Genomic DNA, 25322 nt, shown 5'->3' with positions numbered 1-25322 from the left:
AATGTAAGAGCTCAAGAACACTTTAACAGAAATGAAGAATGCCTTTGGCAGGCTTCTTAGTAGGTTAGAAATGACTGAGAATAGATTCTCTGAGCTTGAGGATATCTCAATAGAAACTTTAAAAACTAAAAAGCAAAGCCCCCCAAAAGAGAGAGACAGAGAGAGAGACAGAGACAGAGACTGAGAATACCCCAGAATATCAATGAACTGTGGGACAACTATAAAAGGTATAACATATGTGTAATGGGAATACCAGGAGGAGAAGAGAGAAAGGAACAGAAACAATATTTGAAACTAATATTTGAAAATAATCACTAAAAATTTCTCCTATTTGATGTCAGACACCAAACCACAGATGGAGGAATTTCAAAGGACACCAAGCAGGATAAACATCAGAAAAGCTACATCTAGGCATATAATTTTCAAAGAACAGAAAATTAAAGATTAAAAAAAAATCCCGAAAGAGGCCAGAGGGGGAAAACACCTTACTTATTAGAAAAGCAAAGATAAGAATTGAATCTAATGTCTCAGAAACCATGTAACCAAGAAGACAACACAGTGAAATATTTAATGTGTTGAGAGAAAAAAAACTGACTAATTTTTGATTCTGTATCCTATGAAATTAACTTTCAAATGTTAAGGAGAAATATAGAGTTTCTCAGAAAAACAAAAATTGAGGGGAGTTGTTACCAGTAGAACTCCCTTGTAAGAAATGTTAAAAGAAGTTCTTTAAAGATAAGAAAAATTATATAGATCAGAAATTTGGATCTACAGAAAGAAAGGAAGAACATCTGAGAAGAAATAGGTGAAGGTAAATGTAAAAACTTTTAGTTTTCTTATTCTTTTTTTTTTGAGACGGAGTCTCGCTCTTCCGCCCAGGCTGGCGTGCAGTGGCGCTATCTCGGCTCACTGCAAGCTCCGCCTCCCGGGTTCATGCCATTCTCCTGCCTCAACCTCCGAGTAGCTGGGACTACAGGCGCCCGCCACCACGCCCGGCTAATTTTTTCTATTTTTAGTAGAGACGGGGTTTCACCGTGTTAGCCAGGATGGTCTGGATCTCCTGACCTCGTGATCCGCCCGCCTCGGCCTCCCAAAGTGCTGGGATTACAGGCGTGAGCCACCGCGCCCGGCCTAGTTTTCTTATTCTTAATTTGCCTAAAAGATAACAGTTTGTTCAAAATAATAATGGCAACAATGTATTTGATTATGTATGCATGTATATATATAGATAGATGTATATTTTTTCTTTTAATTTTATTTTAAGTTCTGGAATACATATGCAGGATGTGCAGGTTTGTTACACAGGTAAACGTGTGCCATGGTGGTTTGCTACACCCATCAATCCATCACCTAGGTATTAAGCCCCACATGCATTAGCTACTTACCTTCCGCTCACCTTCCCACTACCCACCCAACAGCCTCCAGTGTGTGTTGCTCCCCTGCCTGTGTTCATGTGTTCTCACTGTTCAGATCCTGCATAGGAATGAGAACATGCAGTGTTTGGTTTTCTGTTCCTGTGTTAGCTTATTGAAGATAATGGCTCCTAGCTACAGACATGTCCCTATAAAGAACATAATCTTGTTCCCTTTTATGTCTACAAAGTATTCCATGGTGTACCAAGTTTTCTTTATCCAGTCTATCACTGATGGGCATTTGGGTTGATTCCATGTCTTTGCTGTTATGAATAGTGCTGAAATAAACATATATGTGCATGTATCTTTAAAATAGAATAATTTCTATTCATTTGAGTATATATCCAGTAATGGGATTACTGGGTAAAATGGTATTTCTTGTTCTAGATCCTTGAGGAGTCGTCAAAATGTCTTCCACAATGGTCGAACTAATTTACTTTCCCACCACCAGTGTAAAAGCATTTCTATTTCTCCACAGCCTTGTCAGCATCTGTTATTTCTTGGCCCTTTAATAATCATAATTTTGACTGGTATGAGATGGTATCTCATTGAGGCTTGGATTTGCATTTCTCCAATGATCAGTGATGTTGAGGTTTTACATATGTTTGTTGGCCACATAAATCTCTTCTTTTGAGAAGTGTCTGTTCATGTCCTTTGCCCACGTTTTAATGCGGTTGTTTTTTTTCTTGCAAATTTGTTTAAGTTCCTTGTGGATTCTGGATTTTAGACCTTTGTCAGATGGATAGATTGCAAAGTTTTTCTCCCATTCCGCAGGTTGTCCGTTCACTCTGATGATAGTTTATTTTGCTATACAGAAGCTCTTTAGTTTAATTAGATCCCATTTATCAATTTTTTCTTTTTGTTGCCATTGCTTTTGATATTTTTGTCATTAAATTTTTTCCTGTACCTATGTCCTGAATGGTATCGCCTAGATTTTCTTCAAGGGTTTTTATAGATTTGGGTTTTACATTTAAGTCTTTAATCATTCTTGAGTTAATTTTTGTATAAGTTATGAAGAAGGGGTCCAGTTTCCATTTTCTGTATATGGCTAGTTTTCCCAGCACCATTTATTAAATAGGGAATCATTTTTCCATTGCTGGTTTTTTGTCAAGTTTGTTGAAGATCAGATAGTTGTAGATGTGTAGTCTTTTTTCTGAGACCTCTATTCTGTTCCACTTGTCTATGTGTCTGTTTTGGTACCAGCACCATTCTGGTTTGGTTACTGCAGTCTTGTAGTATAGTTTGAAGTCAGATAGTGTGATGCCTCCAGCTTTGTTTTTTTTTTTGTTTGTTTGTTTGTTTGTTTTTTCGGCTTAGGATTGTCTTGGATATACAGGCTCTTTTTTTGACTCTGTATACATTTTAAAGTAGTTTTTTCTAATTCTGTGAAGAATGTCAAGGGTAGTTTAATAGGAATTGCATTGAATCTGTAAATTACTTTGGGCAATATGGCCATTTTCATGCTATTGATTCTTCCTAACCAGAAACATGGAATGTTTTTCCGCTTGTTTGTGATCTCCATTATTTCCTTGAGCAGTGGTTTGTAGTTATCCTTCAAGAGGTCCTTCACATTGCTTGTTAGCTGTATTCCTAGGTATTTTATTGTCTTTGTAGAAATTGTGAATGAGAGTTCATTCATGACTTGGCTCTCTGCTTATCTGTTGTTGGTGTATAGGAATGCTTGTGATTTTTGCACATTGATTTTGTATCCTGAGACCTTGCTGAAGTTGCTCATCAGCTTAAGGAGTTTTGGGGCTAAGATGATGAGGTTTTCTAGGTATAGGTTCATGTCGTCTGCATATAGAGACAATTTGACTTTCTCTCTCTCTATTTTAATATGCTTTATTTATTTCTCTTGCCTGATTGCCCTGGCCAGAATTTCAATACTACATTGAATAGGAGTGGGGAGAGAGGGCATCCTTGTCTTATGCTGGATTTCAAAGGGAATGATTCCAGCTTTGGCCCATTCAGTATGATGTTGGGTATGGGTCTGTCATAAATATCTCTTATTATTTTGAAATATGTTCCAAAAATACCTAGTTTATTGAGAGTTTTTAACATGAAGGGATGTTAAATTTAATTAAAGGCCTTTTCCACATCTATTGAGATAATAGTGTGGTTTTTGTCTTTAGGTCTATATGATGAAATATGTTTATTAATTTGTGTATGTTGAGCCAGCCTTGCATCTCAAGGATGAAGCCAACTTTACTGTGGTGGATAAGTGTTTTGATGTGCTGCTAGATTTATTAAGGATTTTTGATGTGCTGCCAGTATTTAAGATTATTAAGGATTTTTGATGTGCTGCCAGTATTTTATTAAGGATTTTTGCATCGATGTTCATCAGGGATATTGGCCTGAAGTTTCTTGTTGTTGTAGTATCTCTGCCAGGTTTTGCTATCATGATGATGCTGGCCTCACAAAATTTAGTTAGAGACGAGTCTTTCCTTTTCAATTGTTTGCGATGGTTTCAGAAAAAATGGTACCAGCTCCTTTTTGTACCTCTGGTAGAATCTATCTGGTCCTGGGCTTTTTTTGGTTGGTAGGCTATTTATTACTGCCTCAATTTCAGAATTTGTTATTGGTCTATTCAGGGATTCGGCTTCTTCTTGGTTTAATCTTGGGAGGGTGTATGTGTCAAGGAATTTATCCATATCTTCTAGATTTTCTAGTTTACCTGCATAGAGGTGTTTATAGTATTTTCTGATGGTTGTTTGTATTTCTGTGGGGTCAGTTGTGGTATTCCCTTTATCATTTTTATTGTGTCTATTTGAGTCTTCTTTGTTTTCTTCTTTATTAACCTTGCTAGCAGTCTATCTATTTTATTAATATTTGAAAAAAATAGCTCCTAGATTCACTGATTTTTCGAAGGGATTTTTGTATGTGTCTCTATCTCCTTCAGTTCAGCTCTGATTGTAATTACTGTCTCCTGCTAGCTTTTGGATTTCTTTGCTCTTGTTTCTCTAGTTCTTTTAGGTGTAATGTTAGGGTGTTGGTTTGAGATCTTCTAGCTTTCTGATGTGGGAATTTAGTGCTATAAATGTCTCTGTTAACACTCTTTTAGCTGGGACCCAGAGATTCTGATATGTTGTCTTTTTGTTCTCATTGATTTCAAAGAACTTCTTGATTTCTGCCTTAATTTCATTATTTACCCAGGAGTCATTCAGGAGCAGATTGTTCAATTGCCATGTAGTTTTGTGGTTTTGAGTGAGTTTCTTAATCTTGAGTTCTAGTTTTATTGCACTATGATCTGAGAGACTATTATGATTTCAGTGCTTTTGCATTTGCTGAGGAGTGTTTTGACTCCACCCATGTGATCAATTTTACAGTAAGTGCCATGTTGCACTGAGAAGAATGTATATGCTGTAGTTTTGATGTGCAGAGTTCTCTAGATATCTATCAGGTCCACTTGATCCAGAGCTGAGTTCAAGTCCTGAATATTCTTGTTAATTTTCTGTCTCAATGATCTGTCTAATATTCACAGTGGGGTGTTAAATTCTTCCACTATTATTGTGTGGGCATCTAAGTCTCTTCGTAGGCCCCTAAGAACTTGCTTTATGAATGTGGGTGCTCTTGTATTGGGTGCATATGTATTTAAGATTGTTAGCTGTTCTTATTGAATTGATCACTTTACCATTATGTATTGCCTTTCTTCGTCTTTTTTGATGTTTGTTGCTTTAAAGTCTGTTTTGTCAGAAATTAGAATTGCAACCCCTGCTTTTTTCTGCTTTCCATTTGCTTGGTAAGTTTTCCTCCATCCCTTTATTTTGAACCTATGTGTATCTTTGACAGGAGATGGGTCTCTTAAATACAGCACACCAATGGGTCTTGACTCTTTATCCAATTTGCCAGTCTGTGTCTTTTAATTGGGGCATTTAGCCTATTCACATTTAAGGTTAATATTGTTATGTGTGAATTTGATTCTGTCATCATAATGCTAGTGAGTTATTTTGCAGACTAGTTGATGCACTTTCTTCATAGTCATTGGTCTCTGTATTTCAGTGTGTTTTTGCAGTGGCTGGTACCATTTTTCTTTTTTCTCTACATTTAATGCTTCCTTCAGGAGCTCTTGCAAGGCAGGCCTGGTGGTGATGAAATCCCTCAGCATTTGCTTGTCTGAAAAAGATTTTATTTCTCCTTCACTTACGAAGCTTAGTTTGGGCAGATAGGAAATTTTGGGTTGGAAATTCTTCTCTTTAAAAATGTTGAATATTGGCCCCCACTCTCTTTTGGTTTGTAGGGTTTCTGCTGAGAGATCCAATGTTAGTCCAATGGGCTTCCCTTTGTAGGCAGCCTGGCCTTTCTCTCTGGCTGCCCTTAACATCTTTTCCTTCATTTTGAACTTGAAGAATCTGATGATTATATGTCTTAGGGTTAATCTTCTTGTGGAGTATCTTACTGGGGTTCTCTGGGTTTCCTGAATTTGAATGTTGGCCTATCTTGACAGGTTGGGGAAGTTCTCCAGGATGATATCCTGAAGTTGTTTTCCAACTTGGTTTCATTCTCCCATCTCTTTCAGGTACTCCAATTAGTCATAGCTTTGGTCTTTTCACATAGTCCCATAGTTCTTGGAGGTTTTGTTCATCGCTTTTTATTTCTTTTTTCTCTAATCTTGTCTGCTTGCCTCATTTCAGCAAGATAGTCTTCAAGCTCTGATATTCTGTCTTCAGCTTGATTTTTGGCTATTGATACTTGTGTTTGCATCACAAAGCTCTTGTGCTGTGTTTTTCAGCTCAGTCAGGTCATTTATGTTCCTCTCTAAACTGGTTGTTCCAGTTAGCAGCTCCTGTAACCTTTTATCATGGTTTTTAGTTTCTTTTCATTGGGTTAGAACATGCTCCTTTAGCTCAGTGAAGTTTGTTATTACCCACCTTTTGAAGTCTATTTCTGTTAATTCATCCATCTCAGCCTCTGCCCAGTTCTTTGCCCTTGCTGGAGAGGTGTTGCAATCATTTAGAGAAGAGACACTCTGGCCTTTTGAGTTTTCAACATTTTTTTGTTGCTTCTCATCTTCATGATTTGTTTAGTTTTGATCTTTGAGGCTGCTGACCTTTGGAAGGAGTTTTTGTTGGGACTTTTTTGTTGATGCTGTATTGTTGCTTTCAGTTTTTTGTTGTTGTTTGTTTGTTTTTCCAGTCAGGCCCCTCTTCTGTAGGGCTGTTGCAGTTTGCTGGGGGTTCACTTCAGGCCGTATTCACCTGGGTTCCTCCTGCACCTAGAGATGTCACCCAAGGAGGCTGGAGAACAGCAAAGTTGGGTGCTTGCTCCTTCCTCTGTGATCCCTGTCCTCGAGGGGCACTGACCTGATGCCAGTTGGAATGCTCCTGTATAAGTTGTCTGGTGACCCCTGTTTGGCAGGGGGGGTCTCAACCAGTCAGGGAGCAGGGGTCTGGGACCTGCTTAACGAAGCACTCTGGCTGTCCCTTGGTGGAAGGGGTGTGCTGTGCTGAGGAGAAACCCACTGTTTGGGCTGCTCGGATTCCTCAGAGCTAGCAATGAGAAAGACTAAGTCTGGGAGACCAAACCACCTTTTCCCCTAGGGGCTCAGGTCCTGAGAGATCAGAGTTCTCTTCCTAAGCCCCTGGCTGGTGTTGCTGAAGTTCCTGCAGGGAGGCCCTGCCCACTGAGGAGGGATGGGTCAGGGTCTGGCCTAAAGAGGCAGTCTGGACACCAGCTGCCACAGCAGGTGTGCTGTGCTGTGGGGAATACCTCTTGGGTCCAAGCCGTCCAGTTTCCCAGCACCAGCGGGGAATAATGATGGCCTGGAGCTGTAGTAATGGCTGCTGCCCTTCCCCACTGGGAGTTCAGCATTTTAGGCAGCTGGCAGTGACAGTGATGGCTGCCATCTCTCCCCTGGGGAGCTCAGTTTTCTTAGGCAGCAGGTAGCTGCAGTGATGGCTACCACCCCTCTCTCAGGGAGCTCAGATGACTTAGGCAGCAGGCAACCACAGTGATGATGGCTGCCCCTCCCCCAGGGAACTTGGTAGTCTTAGGCAGACTCCAGCTGAATGGCTGCTGAGAATGAAACAGCTCTGTGGTTGGGACCCAAGGCCCTGGTCGCATGGGCTCACGAGTGGGATCTCCTAATCCATGGGTTGCACAGATCTGTGGAAAAAGCATGGTTTCCCAGTCTGGGTAGCACAATCACTCACCACCTCCCTTGGCTAAGAGTGGGGGCTCCCCTTGCCCTGTGTGGCTCTCAGGTGGGCTGACATACCACCCTGCTTTTCCTTTCCCTCTGTGGGTCACATCAACCACCTAGTCAGTCCTGATGATAGAACCTGGATACCTTGGTTACCAGTGCAGGATTTGCATGCTGTTTTCATTCTTTTCCGTGGGAGCCTTCGACTGCAGTTGCTTCTAGTTGGCTATCTTGGCCCTGCCCTCCCGCACGTATATATTCTTATGCATGCTTATGTATAAGTGAAATGAACAACAGTAATGATACAAGGGATGGAATAATTAGGATGATTTTGTCATTATAAGGTACTCACACTACCCATGAAGTGACACAGTGTTTTTGAAGGTACACTTGAATTAGTTGTAAGTGAGTATTGTAAATTCTAGGGTAACCACTCAAAAAAGTAAATAACTGGTATACTTAGAAAGAGGAGAAAATAGAATAAAATGCTAAATTAAAACCACAAAAAGCAGAAAAAGAGTGAAAGACAAACATAGGAACAAAGAACAAGGGCAGCAAATAGAAAATAGTAAGAAATTGAGTAGATATTAATCCACATATATCAGTAGTAAGTCAATGGTTTAAAAGGACCAATTAAAAGAGACTGTTACACTGGATCAAAAAACAAGACCCAACTATATATCGTCTACAAAAAAAAAAAAAAAAACCCACTTTAAATATAAAGATGCATATAGATTAAAAGTAAATAGATGGAGAAAGATATACCATACTAACACTAATCAAGGGAACAGAGGGAGCTATATTAATTTCAGACAGAGCAAAATTCACAGGAAGGAAAGTTGTCAAGTGAAAAGAGGGGCATTGCATAATGATTAAAGAATCAATTTTCTAATAAGACCTAACAATCTTTAATGTATGCACCTAACAACAGGTTGTCAAAATACATAAGGCACAAGCTGATAGAACGATTTGGAGAAATAGATGAATCCACTTTTATAGTTGGAGACATCAACCCACTTCTATTAAAAATGAACAGATCCAGCAGGCAGAAAATCAATAAGGACATAGTTGAACAACACTATCAATCAACTGGACATAACCTGCATCTATAGACTACTTCAACCAACAATAACAGAATATACATTCTTCTCGAAGTCACATGGAACCTTTACCAAGACAGACCACATTCCGTGTTATAAAACACATCTTAACAAATGTCAAGGAATAGAAATCATATAATGCCTGCTCTCAGGCCACAATGGAATTAAACTAGAAATTGATAACAGAAAGATAGCTGGAAAATCCCTAAATATTTGGATATTAAACCACACACTTCTAAATAAAACTAGATGGAAGAAGAAACCTTAAGACAAATTTTAAAATATTTTGAACTATACTAACATAAAAAAAATCAAAATTTGTGGAATATAGCTAAAGCAGTGCTTAGAGGGAAATTCATACACAAATTTATATATTAGAAAAGAAAAAAAAGAAAAGAAAAAACATGTGAAATCATCCATCTAATATTCCAACCTTAGAAAATAGAAAAAAAAAAGAGAAAATTAAATCCAAGTAAGTGAAAGAAAAAATAATAAAAGAGCAGAAATCAATGGATTTCAAAACAGGAAATTAATGAAGAAAATTAATAAAACCAGAAACTGGCTCATTAAAAAGATCAGTAAAATTGTTAGGTCTCTAGTCAGGCCATGTAAGAAAAATAGAGAGAGAAAACACACATTACCAATGTTAGAATGAAAGAGAAGACATCAGTATAGTTCCTATGGACATTAAAAGGATAATAAAGCAACACGATGAACATCTCTATGCTCACAAATTTAATAACCTAGATGGGCCAATTCTCTGAAAGATATAATCTGCCAAAACTCACATGAGAACAAATAGACAATATGAATAGGCCTGTACCGATTAAATTAATAAAATCAGTAATTAATAATATCCCCAAACAGAAAGTATAAGGCCCAGTACTGTCTTTGTTCACACATGACATAATCATTTATGTAGAAAATCTGAACTAATTGACAAAAAACTCCTGGAACTAATAATCAATTATAGCAAGGTTGTAGAATATAAGAGCAAAATACAAAGTTCATCACTTTCCTATATACCAGCAATGAACAAATGACATTTGATATTAAACACACAATACCATTTACATTAGAATCCCCCAAATTAAATACTCAAGCATAAATCTAACAAACCACATACAAGATCTACGTAAGGAAAACTACAAACATCTGATAAAAGCAACCAAAGAATAACTAAATGGAGATATAGTCCATGCTCATTGATATGAAGACAATATTATCAAGATATCAGTTTTTTCCAAGTTGATCTACAGATTCAATTTAATCCCAATCAAAATCCCAGCCAGGGGGGTGGATCCATGATGGCTGATTAGAAACAACGATCGTCTGTGGCATGCATGGAGAGGAATGAAAAGGGGCAAATGAATTCAGCACCTTCAAATGAGATATCCAGGTTCTTGCATTAGGACTGACTGGAAGAACATCTCAACCCACAGATAACTAAGAACAGTGGGCAGGGCCAAAGGAATCCCCACCCCAGCCAAGGGAAGTGGTGAGTGATTGTGTGAGCCTGCTGGGAAACCATGCTTCTCCCACAGATCTTTGCAAACCACGGAACAGGAGATCCCCTAGTGAGCCCACACCGCCAGGGTCTTGGGTCTGATACACAGAGGTGTGTGGAGTCTCGGCAGAGCAGCTGCTCACGCACTCTCAGAGACCCAGGAGTTTTACATAGTCCAGCCCTGGGATCCTTGGCAAAGTGGGAAATCCATCTGTACATATCCCCAGGAAGGGGGCTGAATCCAAGGAGCCAGGTAACTTGGTTCTGTGGGCCCCACTTCCATGGTACCTCACAAGTTAAGACTCACTGGCTTGGATCCCAGCCAGCCAATGGCAGTGGGTTGAAGTCTGCCTGAGACAGGTCCAAGTTCCCTGGGGGAGGGGTGGCTGCCATCTCTGTGGTTTGGTAGACTTGGCCACTCCAGCTTGCCGATTGTGAATACAGATGGCTCAGATGAGAAAGGATCCCCCACAATGCAGCACAGCTGCCTTGCCAGATTGTGACCAGACTGCTTCTTTAAGTGGGACCCTGATTCATCCCTCCTCACTGGGTGGGACCTGCCTGCGAGGCTTTGGCTACTCCAGCAAGGGTTCCACGGACAAAGCAATCTCTCCCTGAGATGGAGCTCCTGGGGAGAGGGGTGGCTGCCATCTCTGTGGTTCAGTTGACTCAGCCACTCCAGCCTGCCAGGTTTGGAGAATAAAGGTGGCCCAGATGAGGAAGGGACCCTCCCACCGCTAATGTAACACAACTGCTCTACCAAAACACAGCCAGACTGCTTCTTTAGTTGGGTCCCTGATCCCATTCCTCCTGATTGTGTGAGACCACCCAATGTGGGTCTCCAACCCACTTCCTACAGGTAGGGCAGGCTGGCAATGGGTCACTACCCACCTGGGACAAAGCTTCCAGAGGAAGAAGCTGGCTGCCATCTTTGCTGTCTCACATCCTTCACTGGAGAAACCTCCAGGTATGGGAGAAAGCAAGTCGACTGAGGTCTGGAGCGAACCCCCAGCAAATTGCAGCAGCTCTAAGGCAGAGTGGCCTGCCTGTTAAAAAAACAAATGAACAAACAGAAAACAACAGCAACATCAACAAAAAAGATCCCACCAAAACTCCATTCAAAGGTCAGCAATCACAAAGATACAAGGTAGATAAGCCCACAAAGATGAGAAAGAATCAATGTAAAAACATTGAAAACTCAAAAAGCTAGAATGCCTTCTCTCCCTCAAATGACTGTAACACCTCTCCAGCAAAGGCACAAAACTGCGCTAGAGCTGAGATGGCTGAACTGACAGAAGTAGGCTTCAGAAGGTGGATACTAAGGAACTTGCTGAGCTAAAGGAGAATGTTGTAACTCAATGCAAAATCCTAGCCAGTTATTTTGTGGATATAAATAAACTATTTCTAAAGTTTAAATGAAGAGGCAAAGCCCAGAATAGCCAACACAATATTGAAGAAGAATAAAGTTGAAGGACTAACACTACCTGACATCAAGAATCACTATAAAGCCACTGTAAAGCAAACAGTGTGGTATTGGCAAAAGGATGAACAAACAGATCAAGGAAACAGAATAGAGAGTACAGAAATAGACCTACATAAATATAGTCAACTGATCTTTGACAATGGGAGCAATAGAGGCAACAGAATGCTATGGAGGAAAATTTTTTCAACAAATGGTGCTGAAACAACTGAACACTCACATGTAAAAACAAAAAAGAAAAATGAAAGTAGACACAGACCTTAAATCTTTCACAAAAATTAACTGAAAGTGGATCACAGATCTAAATGTAAAAAACAAAAACATATAAAACTCCTGGAAGATAACAGAAGAGAAAATCGAGATGATTAAGGGTTTGGCAATGGCTTTTTAGATGCCAACCCAAGGGCACAATCCAAGAAAGAAAGAATTGACAAGCTGGACTTCATTAGAATTAAAATATTCTGCCTCCCCAAAAACACTGTCAAGAGAATAAGAAGAAAAGCCACACACTGGAAGAAAATATTCGCAAAGGACATATCTGATAAAAGACTGTTATCCAAAATATACAAAGAACTCTTAAAACAGTAAGAAAACTAACAACCCAATTTATAAATTGACCAAAACTCTAGACTAACACCTCAACCCAGAATATATACAGATGGCAAATTCACATATGAAAAGATGTTTTACGTCATATATCAGTAGGGAAGTAAACAGCAATAAGATACTACACACGTATTAGAATGGCCAAAACCCAGAACACTGATGATACCAAATGCTGGAGAGGGTGTAACAGAAAGTCTCATTCAAAGCTGGTGGGAATGCAAAATGGTACAGCCACTTCAAAAGACAGCTTGATGGCTTTTTATAAAACCAAACATACTCTCACCATACAATCCAGCAATCATACTCCTTGGTATTTATGCAAAGGAGTTAAAAACTTATGTCCAAACAAAACCTGCACAAGGATGTTTATAAGCAGCTTTATTAGTAATTGCCAAAAGCTGGAAACAACTGAGATGTCCTACTGAAGTAGGACATCTAGATTGGAACATCTAGACAATGGAATATTACTCAACTTTAGAAAAGAGTAAGCTTTGAAGCCATGAAAATACATGGAGGAGACTTAAATGCATATTCCTAAGTGAAAGAAGCCAGGTGAAAGGACTACATTCAGTATGATTCTAACTAAATAACGTTGAAAAGAGTCGAAACTATGGAGATAGTAATCAGTGGTTACCAGGGTTTAAGGGATTGGGATGACTATTTTGCGTACAGAGTTCCAGTGCACTGAAACTACTGCACCATGCCAAAAGTGAACCCTAATGTAAAAACTATGAACTTTGAGTAACAATGTGTCAATACAGGTTCATCAATTGTGACAAATTTACCACTCGAGGGGCCGGGGTGGGGAGTCATGTTGATAATTAGGGAGGCTATGCATGTGTTGGGGCAAGGGGTGTATGGAAAATCCTTGGACTTTCAATTTTGCTGTAAACATAAACCTGCTCTAAAAAAAATGGTCTATTTTTACAAAAAGTCCAGAGAACAAGAATAGGCTGGGAAGGGGTTTGAGGGGATCTTCTGTGATGCCAGTAATGTTCTCTTTTTGAACTCCGTTTGTTTACTCTGTATAAATCTATTAAAATGTATACTCACGAAAAACAACAGTAAAAATTCATTTGAGCCCTTAGGAATTCATTGTATTTTTGGCCGTGTCTGACTTCTATTGACATTGTCAATTATGTCCATTCAGACAAAAGAAATGCCCTTAATTTGGTCTGGTGTGGAAAATTATGTTTTGATTAGCATAGAGTAACAGCATTTAATGGCCCTTAAGAATATGTAGTATAGATTTCATTTCAAAAATTTAACATGAATTTTTTTATTTTAATTTTAATTTAATAAGCAATACAGGTTTTTTCTTACATATTATAGAAATATATATGCATGTACTTTCTAAGAAACAGCACAGACCTGCAGTAAAAATTAGTGATAAGTAAGAAACAATAACTAAAATACAGTAAGAATAGAGTACAGAGGAACATGGACAGGGTTAAACTGCATAATTCAGACAAGAGAGATTCTGATTTTATTGCAACCTTCCCACCAAACTTTCTGTCCAAAAACAATAAATAAAGCTCAGCAGATAGAAGCACTTATGATCAAGGTCAATGTTGAAAAATAAGTAGCACCTTTGGTCATTAAAATGATTGTCGACATTTCCAGGAAGCTTAAATACAGCATTTCTGATTTTGAAAAGAAAATAAAACTAATTAATATGTACCATAAAGTTTAGCTGTTGCATATTTCAATATTTGCATAGAATGTTTGACAAAATAAAAAGGATTCAAAACAGAGTTTCAATTTTAAATAAAGAAAATGCTACAGGTGTTTTGTTTTCTATGTCTTACTTTTAAAATTAGCCAGAGAATTACTGTAATATACATTCAGCCTGCATCGTAGAATACTGTAGTAGCATTTTAATAATCAATATCTATCAATTCATTTCAATAAAGGAATACTCTATGCCTGGCACTTTGCTAGATATTAAAGTTGTCATTATAACTAAAATAACATCCTTGTCCACAAGGAGCTCACAGTCTAGTAAGAAAGAGATGAATTTGAAAATATATTTGAAACTGTAGGCAAAATAAGTACCCTCACAGAGAAATTCAACATTTGGTTTCAAATTTGTTATGCAGTGAAAATTAGAAACTACAACCAAGATTTTTTTAAAACATTATGTTCATATAACGCTGTAGTATACCTGAAAGGCAAGAACTTAAACAAGTGTGCTGAAAAACAAATTAGGAATATTTGAACAAAATATACTTTAAAAATGATCAACAACGTAAAATATTCCTGATTTAAATAAATCTAAGTTATTTTATTTAGTTTAAGCAAAATATGTATCCATATGAAAATGCCAGTTCTTTCATTTTTGGTTAATTCCTTTACACATATTATTTGCTAAGTTCAGAAATGCTATATATACAAAAATTTCAAAAATAAATAAGTATCCCAAGATCACATAACAATACTTTAAGTACATTCATGTGTAAGAAGGCAAAAAAAGAAGGTTCTATCTTATATTTTAAAACTTTGACAGGTATTTTAAATGTATTATTTTATACTTTATTTTCTTTAAAAATGAAATAATACAGCCATGATTTAAGTCATGTAAAAACAACTGTTTGGATCATTTAGGTGTCAAGCAAAACTATCCTCTTTATTTCACTATCATAGTAACCATAGTTGATAGACCATGTGGCAATATGATCATTTGTTCAGTGGTCATTAAGATATCTATAGAATAAACAAGACAACTACATTTTATTTTTTTCACTTAAAAATCACAAAAATACAGCCTAAAATATAATTTATATTTTAAAAATAATTCTAAACATTAACCCCTAAATCTAATCCCTTAAAAAATTCTTGCAAAAGTTAGCTGGATGTGGCTGTTGCCAAGGAATGTCTTTTATTAGCAACAAGTGACTATCTATAACTTTTATTCCAACAATCTTATTTTAAATATTTGTTTCAATTTAATGCTGGGATTAGAAAAACATATTTGTTCAAAGTATGTAAGTAGTAAGTAAAACAATTTCAAAAATCTATCAAAAAAGGAGAATTATTCATTCTAGGAAATAATTAACATACTGGTTTAAAATATCTGGGAGAAGAACTTTTACATAAAAAGCTTCAAATTTAGTCAGTTGTAGCAAGCACTTGAAAAGACCCTGCTCTTTCATCTGCAATATCAGGAATTACTATATCTGACTCATATTTGATTAAGTTACAATCTCATTTTTGTTGTCACTACAAAGAAGGATCCTTATATTAGTAAATGCACTCACTGCAACTACTGAGGCCTGCCTCCTGTCAGAATGACAATGCAGTCTTAGCATACGGGTGTCGGTTTGGCTGAATCTAACCAAACACATCACGTACTACAGATGTTTTTAGGGCCCACCCAATTCATAAAAGATTTTACTGCGATACATGAGTTTACCCAAATTTTTATTAAAATGTGTTTTTAGGGTAAATATCTTGATGAACTAGGCAAACAAATACTGAATGCAGATTACTGTTTTTACAGTTTTACCGGGAAAACTCCTAATAGCAACCCCTCTTCCCCTTCACCACAGATCTTTAATTTAGGTGTGATTTTTGTTTGTTCTCTACATGGGAATAAAGGAGAAAGTTTAGAAAGACTGTATCTAGCTAGATAAGATGCAGAGGTAGATGGAATCTCTAACATAAAAGAAGCTCTAATTACACTGTTGCCAGACAGCTGTTATGGATTTTAGTATTGTTTATTAGGTGAAGAAAACATTCATAAAATAAGAAATTTTTGAGATAGAACTTACTCTAATAATTTCATTAACATATGTTCAGGTTCTTAGATCAAGAAATACTGTAGAGGTGTTCTCCTCAAGACTATGCTATGGCAATAATTTCTTGCATACAATTTAATAATTTAAACTTGAACTGTGTGTTCTGTGCTCTGGCGTTCTACTTCAGAAAAAAATGAACACTGCTTCTAAAATAAAAAGGAACATAAAATAAAAAAGGAATTAATGAGATATTGACATGTTTTCTATTAATACAATATTGATGTTTTAAATGATTTTGATATTGCTATAACAACATATATTGTGCAAAATAATTAATCTCACTAAATATTATTTCTGATTTGCCACGAATTATCTGCCGTGGCAATCAGGAAATAGTCTTCAAAGTAAGTTTGCAAACATGATTTTGCAAACCATGATTGGAAAAATATATTCATTTGGGCTATAAACTATCAAGTAGGGTTGTTATATATATTTCTAGGAAAATATTTTATTTACTCTACAAAGATCATCATTATGACCTTACGGCTTCTGTAGTGCAATGGAGAAAAAAGTGTGTTAGAAGTTAAAAGACCTGAATTCTATCTCCAACCCTGCATTTATTCAGAGTATTGGTATAGGTTTAGGCAAAATCCTTAATCCAGTCTAGTTTTATATGGTAAAAATGTGGATACCTATCAAAACTGAGGGTTGAGAGGATGAAATGAATTCATTAAACATATCTTCTGAGACATAAATATATCAAAACAAATCAAAATACAATTAGATCTAATGTTTAGAAATAAATATTTTAATTCATATTTGCTATTTCACTAAATCTAGAAATACTAATGCTTTAGTTAAATATAGAAAGTTGATGATAGAAAAATAAAATCCATCGTACCATTGAAAAGCTTGTCAGAAATATGTACTCTTGAGATTCGGAGGATGAGAAAAAAAATGTGTACTCTAACGAGGAAGCTATATAAACTGAGTCTAACTCAAAACATTTATTTTAGATGCATATAAGAATTAAAGTCTTAGTCAAAAGAATGTTTTAAAATTTCATCCTAAATTTATGTGAGATAAAATGCCATTCTTTTGTTTTTCTGAACAGAGGAGCTTTTATCAACTTATTCTATTTTATTTTTATTTTTATTATTTTATTTTATTTTATTTATTATTATTATACTTTAAGTTTTAGGGTACATGTGCACAATGTGCAGGTTAGTTACATATGTATACATGTGCCATGCTGGTGCGCTGCACCCACTAACTCGTCACCTAGCATTAGGTATATCTCCCAATGCTATCCCTCCCCCCTCCCCCGACCCCACCACAGTCCCCAGAGTGTGATGTTCCCCTTCCTGTGTCCATGTGTTCTCATTGTTCAGTTCCCACCTATGAGTGAGAATATGCGGTGTTTGGTTTTTTGTTCTTGCGATAGTTTACTGAGAATGATGATTTCTAATTTCATCCATGTCCCTACACGAACTTATTCTATTTTAATAGAATGTTCAGTATCAGTGTTTTCACACTGAGATTCTCTAGCTTATTTTGCCATATTTAAATTAAAAAGAAACAAAAAATCCTGTTTGATCATGTGAAAAATATTTACTGAAATGTGAATAAATTTATGATCATTAATTGCCTACTGAAATATTCCTGAATATTGCTCACCTTATTAACAAGTATATATGGAGACTGAAAAACATGTAGATCATGCAAACAAGTGTAACTAACTATACCAAAGAAACAAAAGTCCATACTAAATATGTCCATAATTAAATAAAAAATGCTAAACAAGTTTTACCTAGATATTATAAAAACATAGAAAGGAAAACATTTAGGAGATGATGAAGAAGCAGGAGATTGGGATGGGAGATGTAATTTGATCTAAATTCCCATATGCTTCTGTAAAATCAAAAATTCATTTTGCAATATTAATTTTGCTCTTAAGGTAGAGACTTTTAAAATGACCATTCTCAATACTACAGCAATTCTTCCCTGATTTGCACATAAATGAATTAAAGTGAAGAAAAAGCAGTAGAGGAGAGAAGACTAAAATAAACCAGATTGTAGCACCCTGTAAAGAGCTAAAATCTCCAGTGTACAAACAACTGATAGGAAAGAAGAGAAAATCAGAACTATAAAAAAGTGACATAAGCTCAGAAAATTACTCATTTTTAATTGTATCAACAAAGATAATTTGTAATTTTGATCATGCAAGCATTATAATTACTGATAATTGGGCCTTTCAGCTTTTAAGTGCCTTCTCAAACATGAGTTCTGCATATGGTTGTGCAGAAATCAAAATCTTAAAGAGAGATGAGTAAAGTCAAGTTTGTAATATTAATCTTATATTCTCAATATAGATGCTAATTAGTGCTCTGAATGGTTGTGGTTAGAAATCTTGTTGGTATGATGTATCAGTGATGTCACTGCATTGATGGAGACAGAATAATACATAATGGTGCAATGTGGTGATGGTAAGCTTTGTTACTCAATATTGTCAGGCACTTTAAGAAAATCAGAAACATTCAGGATAGTGCCAAAGAAGATCAGTTTTTCAAGACTCTAAAATCATATTCAATTATATGTGTATGTAATTATAAATATGTGCATCATGGCTGACTTTGAGAAGAATGCAGCGCCTTGCAAGTGCACTATTTGAATAGAGCTAAGGAGAACTATAGTCTAAGGACTGCAAAAGTCTAGATGGAGAAGACAAAAGCAATGACACTTGTTTTCTCTACAGAACAAATAGACAAAGAGGTGAATGACAACAAAGATGTTCAGAGAAACTTGAAAAATAAGCTACGGTGTAGGGTAAGTTGTATTAAATGATGAAAATTAATATGTAACTGTATGGGTAAACCAAATCATTTGTATCTTATAATCTTTTTTTTGGTAGCTACGGATAATATTATAAATGGAATAATCACTAAAATTCTAAATATAATGTTTTCTAGTAAGAACATTTTATTTTTTTTTTAATAGAGACAGATTCTCACTCTATTGCCTAGGCTGGACTGCAAGTGGGGCCATTATAGCTCACTGAAGCCTCAACTTCCTGGGCTCAAATGACCCTCTCGTCTCAGCCTCCCGAGTAGCTGGGACTACAGGTGCACATCACCACATCCAGGTAATTATTTTACTTTTTGAATCATGATATGTAGCAACCAATCTGGGAATTATTTATTCATAAAAGATAACATTTTCCTGCTAACTCCAACCTCAGAAAAAATGTATTATGCCTGACTCAAATATGTCATTATTTTTATGAGAAAAAGAGTCATATTGAAGTAATTATGTCTATATGTAATAATTATCATTATTTGAGATAATTTGCATTGGGGAGAAAAGCAGGCAATCAGAAATTACATATTCAAGGCTGGGCGCAGTGGCTCACGCCTGTAATCCCAGCACTTTGGGAGGCAGAGGCGAGTGAATCACCTGAGGTCAGAGTTCAAGACCAGCCTGACCAACAAGGAGAAACCCCATCTCTACTAAAACAAAACAAAACAAAACAAAACAAAAAAAGCCACAAAATTAGCCGGGCATGGTGGCACATGCCTGTAATTCCAGTTACTCGGGAGGCTGAGGCAGGAGAATTGCTTGAACCTGGGAGGCAGAGGTTGTAGTAAGCCGAGATTGTGCCACTGCACGCCAGCCTGGGCGACAAGAACGAGACTCAGTCTCAAAAAAAAAAAAAAAGAAAGAAAGAAAGAAATTACATATTCAGGTTCTAGCAAATGCAGTTCTCTAATAAACACTAAATAAATCATAATACAAGTTACAGTTAAACCTAATTGTTTTACTATATAGGATGTATCTTTTTTGTACCTATATTTTATCTTCCTTTGCTTCTCTGGCCTCTATTGGGAGGCAGCACGGTAGTGAACACCTCGGGGATCTTTCTGGTTACGTAAACCTGAGTTTTAATTTTGGTTCATACTACCTTTTAACTTTGGGTAGTCTGCTGAGCTTGTTTTTTGTTTTCACTCATCTGTCATATCAAGCTAGTAATAATTCTGCCATGGTTTTGGTTTTCATATTGAAAGGCATTACATAAGCAAAATGCATAACATATAAATATTAGTTCCCTTTCCACTATGCATCCAATCTCCCTATTAAATTAAGCCTAAAAATAATAATTTTTGTTTTATTAAAAGCCTTCCACATTCTACATATGAAAGGGATTTTTTAAAGGTGTTTTAGATAAAAAATGTTTCAACCAACTGACCAAGAATATCTCTTCATATTTATGTCATCTACATAAAAACTTACATTTATATCATATATCTTTTAGTCTTCTTTTCTATATTCTTGATTGTCATGTTGTACAGCCAGAAAAGAATGAGTATAAATTATCTAGATTTTTTAAAGTGCACATTCAAACATAGAAAATCTAATTATTTTACTTGTTTCTTAGTATTAGGCTGAGGCCAATGAGTCCATGAGCTAAAGGGTTGAAACTTGGCACCAAAAAAGTGATTGTTTATGAGTCCTGTAGATTTATACTGAGAAAACATCATGTCTTCCAATGTGAAATACACTAAAACCTGATTTTTTGTCTCTTAAGGTGTGCTAGGTGAATGCAAAAAGGATCAGGAAAGGGGGTGAGGATAGGTCAGGAAAAGTGCAAACACAATGTTCTATTCATAAATTAGTGATGGCATATTTAAGGTTAAGTAGTAAAAAATATGGGGGGCTCAGTTAACACGAATGAAAAAATAGTTAAAGTAGCCATGAATTATCTGGATACCTTGATTTAATGACACCCTTTCTTCTGTACAATTTCATAATGTGGGAATAGAGATTAGTGGGGATTGTAGTGGTATACCCTGACTTTGCTTCATGATATCTCAAATGTTTAAAACCTATTATTCCCTAGAGAAAGAAATATGTTCATACTAATTGTTGCAGAGGCAGAAGCCAAATATATCTCCTCCTCCATTTATGTGACTATATAGTAATGAAAATCCTAGGTTGATACACTTTTCTCAATCTTGGAAAGATTCTGCTAAAGCAGCAAATCTTCTAACAAGTTCAAGAGGGTGGGGAGAGTGAACAAGTAGAATAATTTATATTACCCTGGAACAATTCTGAATCCTGTAGGTATTTATGTCACTGTTTCAATTGTGTTCTGGTTTAACTGTCAATATTTATGCATAGCAGTTAACGTGTGTGCATATTTGTAACTGTGCAGTGCTACTGCCAGGTGTGACTGTACAAATCATGTGCTTTGAATGTGCAAGTTTTACTTTCTTTTCTAACAATTTAATACAGTGTTAGAAATAAATAACGAATGAAGACAACCAAAGAGCAGCCAGACAAATGTGAACTGGTTTTGACGTGACGAGAAACTCATCAGTAAGTAAATAAACCTCCTCCCTGGAGAAGGCCACTGAAATGCACCCAGGAGGATGTCTCTACTAGAAGGTAATAAAAAATATATATAATGTAGTCTTTGACCTAAAACCTCATGATTATTACTTTGCCATTTATTTCCCCCTGGTATCTGATGTTCATATTAGTTTAATGTGCCTTTTCAGAGAATTCAAGACACTTTTTGGAAAGTAGAATTTTTTTTTGAAAATTTATGATTGGAGAGGTACTACACAATTTAGAGGTTACATTTCTTGACAAATCTGAGTTGAATAAAAAAGAACTAAAAATATAAACATAGCTAATTCAAGAATCAAGATCGGGTGAAACTAAATTAAAAACAGCCATAAAGTCCCACATTTTCCCTAATTTATTTACCTATGATATTGGCACATCTTGTTTTACTTAACATTTGAAAAATACAAATATCTCTTCATATGCAAAAGAGCAAATGTTAAATGAAAAACTGAATTTTATATAGCTTCCTAAATATGAGCCACATGCTTAAGCAGTGAATTAACTTTATGAATCAAATGTTTAATGTTAACTATTACAAAAGCCTGGTATCCAGGTGCAATCTCACCAGAAAAAAATAGCACCTGCCTTTATTACAATAAAAAAAATGGCTAATTCCCTTTGACATCTTAAGAGTGACACTACTTTGTCAAGCACTAAATACTTTTTAAATTAATCATGTTAAACTTCAGATTTATAGATATAAATATTGTATTTATAACTTTAGTCATAATGTACAATTTCTTTCTTGTTTAAAAGTACTTTCTCACTCAAAATGGTATTTATAGTTTAAAAAGAATATGCCTCTGTATTCAGGAGTGATTCAAATTCCCAGATGTTTTCACATAGTTATGAAAATGGGAAAGTGCTGAATTAAACTGGGCTGCAATATTTCAAGTTTTTTGCTATCAGGTTATAAACTATACCTACGATTGCAAGTCATACAGTGCCTCTATTTCTAGAAGGCTTTTAAAGTTTCCTGGCTTAGTTATGTCCAAAGGCAGCAGGAAGTCTCATCAGTAGAGGGCAGAATTTTCAAGTGCTGCCATTCTTATCCCAGGAGGCATTTCCAGTGGTTGAGCACAAGGCCTGTTTGTAGTTTGCTTTTGCTCTTGCATTTTGTGGAAGGGAAGGAACTGAGAGAGCTTAGAGGGTTCATTAAAACCACCCCTCACTCTCTTAGTCGTAGTCAGATGGAGTATTCATAACAGTAACCTCCAATTACCACTATGTGTTGGGAAAAATTAGAATTCGGTCTACTTACAATCCTGCCAACTAGGATTTTACTTTGATATTTCAGTATAACAGTGAATCTGGATTGATGCCTGATTAAAATAAAATCCCTGATTATTACTTTCTGGATTACGAACTAAAATCCCTGTAAAATCAATGGATGTGACTCATTGTTAAGAGTCATGCAGACTTTTACATATTAGGTAAGAATTCTAAAAATTATTTGAGGGTTCTATTCTCTAGCACCAGGTACTAATGCTCCCTACTCAAAAAAAATCATGTGCATGGATTAATCAAGTCTAACAGTGCTCAGATTTAATGGTTTAACATTGATTTTCTTTTCTTTGTCAAACTTATATATGCAAATATTTTTATAGTAGTCAGATGTTATTTTTGAATAAGGATCACCCTCATTTTTACCCATGTGCTTATCTTTAAAACCAACATTGTAAAGTAGCACGCAGACATATGTTTCTTTTATCTTCATGGATTATTTTTACCTTAAAAATAAATTATCATTTTTTTTTTTGAATTTGGGTTTTATTCTCCAGATACTCTGTGTACATGTGGGTAAGTATGTGGGAGTATGTGTGTTTGTGTGTAAGAGGGGATAATTAATTGTCTCTCAACTCTATCTCATACTTTAATATCAAATAAAAAATGAAATGTATAAAGGGTCACTTTGTAGGATTAGGCATCCTCCTTCTACCTACTTAAACCAGGGGTTTGGGATTCAGAATTCTCCATATAACCAAGACCGAAAGTCACTGGAAGACTTTAAAATTAGTATTTTAACCACCACACCCAGAGTCAGGTATGGAAATAAACCTATAGCATGGATTCTTTCTATGCATAATCTCAAAATTTAACTACCCAAATAAGTAAGTTTTTAAAAACTAATTTAAAATTTGCCATTGAGGAAAATATCACCTCCATCCTTAATTGTGACTCCTCATTTCAGCTAAAACCTTTTCTAATACTTTAAAAAAACAAAATGAAAAACAAACTCCTAGATAAAGTCATAAACACTGAAATCAGAGATGTGATTCTTGTTAAATGTTAGTTTCTCTTTCTGAGGTTACACTCTGTGCATTTGAAACTTTGACGTTAACATCTTCCGAATGTTTAGATTTGCTCAAGGGTTCAGATTCTCTGGTCTTCTGCCTTGCATTTTCCTCCTTCCTTTCCTTTGCAAGCAATCTATAGTTGATAGCATTGCCAATGAGCAGCCACACGCTTGCTGCTACCACAATAGCCCCACAGGACATGTACATGTATTTATATTCTCCAGTTAAATCCACCAATTTACCTAGAAGACAAAGAACATCTTTTAAGTTGGCATAATAAAACAGTCATATAATGATAAAAATTCAAATAAATTATTCTTCAAAGTATATTCCTCTTATTTAAATTAATGTCAAATAAGACTTTAAAAATAAAAAAATCTAGATTATGACTTCTACATATGCTTAGTAAAGGTATGCAGAGACACTTACAGTATTATATTACTAGTACATTAAATTTACTAAAAATTATTTCTCTCAGTAAAATATACAAACAAGACAAACTAGGCATTTTTTGTGTGTATATATTAATACATACATGAGTGAGGTATATTTTTATATCTATACATGTGAATATAGATATCTCTATTTACAGCACACGTTAGGATTGCTTCACCCTTTCCATGCTTCCTTTTCTCTTCAATAGAGAAAAATTACTTTCTTTAGGAGAAACCCAAAGGCTTTTACATGGTTCCTAACAGTGTCTAATATTTACTAAGTGCTTTCTCTATGCCCCATACTAGCCTAAGAATTTTATCTGTAATAGCTCACTTGATCCTTACAAGGAGTACTGTGAAGTAATCTGGGCATGGTTATGTAGCTAGTTAGTGGTAGAATCTAGACTCTTAACTGAGGTCTGTCTGTACTCATTCTTAACTACTCTGCAGAATGGCTTCACCTAACCTGTTGTTTAAGTGCCATGTCACTATTTGAGCTAATCCTAGTTTTTCACTTTATCTGAGTCTAAATTATTAAGGTGAAACTAATCAGTAAAAAAACTATTCCACTTGATTATTGAGACCATTTAAAATCTAGCCTGGTGCCATTTAATATGAAGGTTAATTGACTTTTAAAATTTTGTCAGCTTATATTTAGTTTTGTCTCTTGCTTATGCAGGCATCTAATTCTTCGTAATTATTAACAGCAGCAAAATTTAGTGTATACAAATCTATATAAATTAGCATATGCATTCCAAGTGATTCTGATATACAACTTTCAAACCAGTCTGTTTAGTCAGAATCCATAGCATTCTCCCTAGAATCTAGTCAGTGGCTCAACATTAAATTTGGCTACTTGTAATATATTACCTATTTAAACAAAATTTTCTGTTTTAATCAGGTAGATGGTATAATGGGTTTATTTAAGTAAGCATGACATAGTCATAAACATAACAAAAATGGCATAATTTTAATTTGCCTTCTTAACTTGAGTCAAATATTTCTATTTCTACAATGATTATTATACTTCTAAATATAAAAGCATTAGGTCCATGGCCCATCAGAGTTAATACCACTTTGGGCTGCCACATCAGCATACTTTCTAAATGTTTTAAGAATTTTTTATTGCGGCACTATTCACAATAGCAAAGACTTGGAACCAACCCAAATGTCCAACAATGATAGATTGGATTAAGAAAATGGG

General features: G+C 35.8%; 1 protein-coding gene across 14 annotated transcripts in view; it reads right to left on the bottom strand.

Annotated features, from left to right (window-relative positions):
• Nucleotides 1–13507: 13507 nt before the first annotated feature.
• Nucleotides 13508–25322, bottom strand: part of SLC16A7 (solute carrier family 16 member 7) — a 193813-nt gene continuing 181998 nt past the window's right edge. For all 14 annotated transcript variants that reach the window (NR_073056.2, NR_073055.2, XM_011538989.3 and 11 more), the window contains one exon: nt 13508–23926. Coding sequence is in view for 12 of the 14 variants with exons in the window: in XM_011538989.3 (XP_011537291.1) it covers nt 23670–23926 (257 nt within the window). In the remaining 2 variants the exon portion in view is untranslated. The remainder of the gene's footprint in view (nt 23927–25322) is intronic.

Source organism: Homo sapiens, chromosome 12 (genome assembly GCF_000001405.40).
Source record: "Homo sapiens chromosome 12, GRCh38.p14 Primary Assembly".
NCBI classification, from domain to species: domain Eukaryota; kingdom Metazoa; phylum Chordata; class Mammalia; order Primates; family Hominidae; genus Homo; species Homo sapiens.
This window is presented reverse-complemented; position numbering and strand designations above follow the sequence as displayed.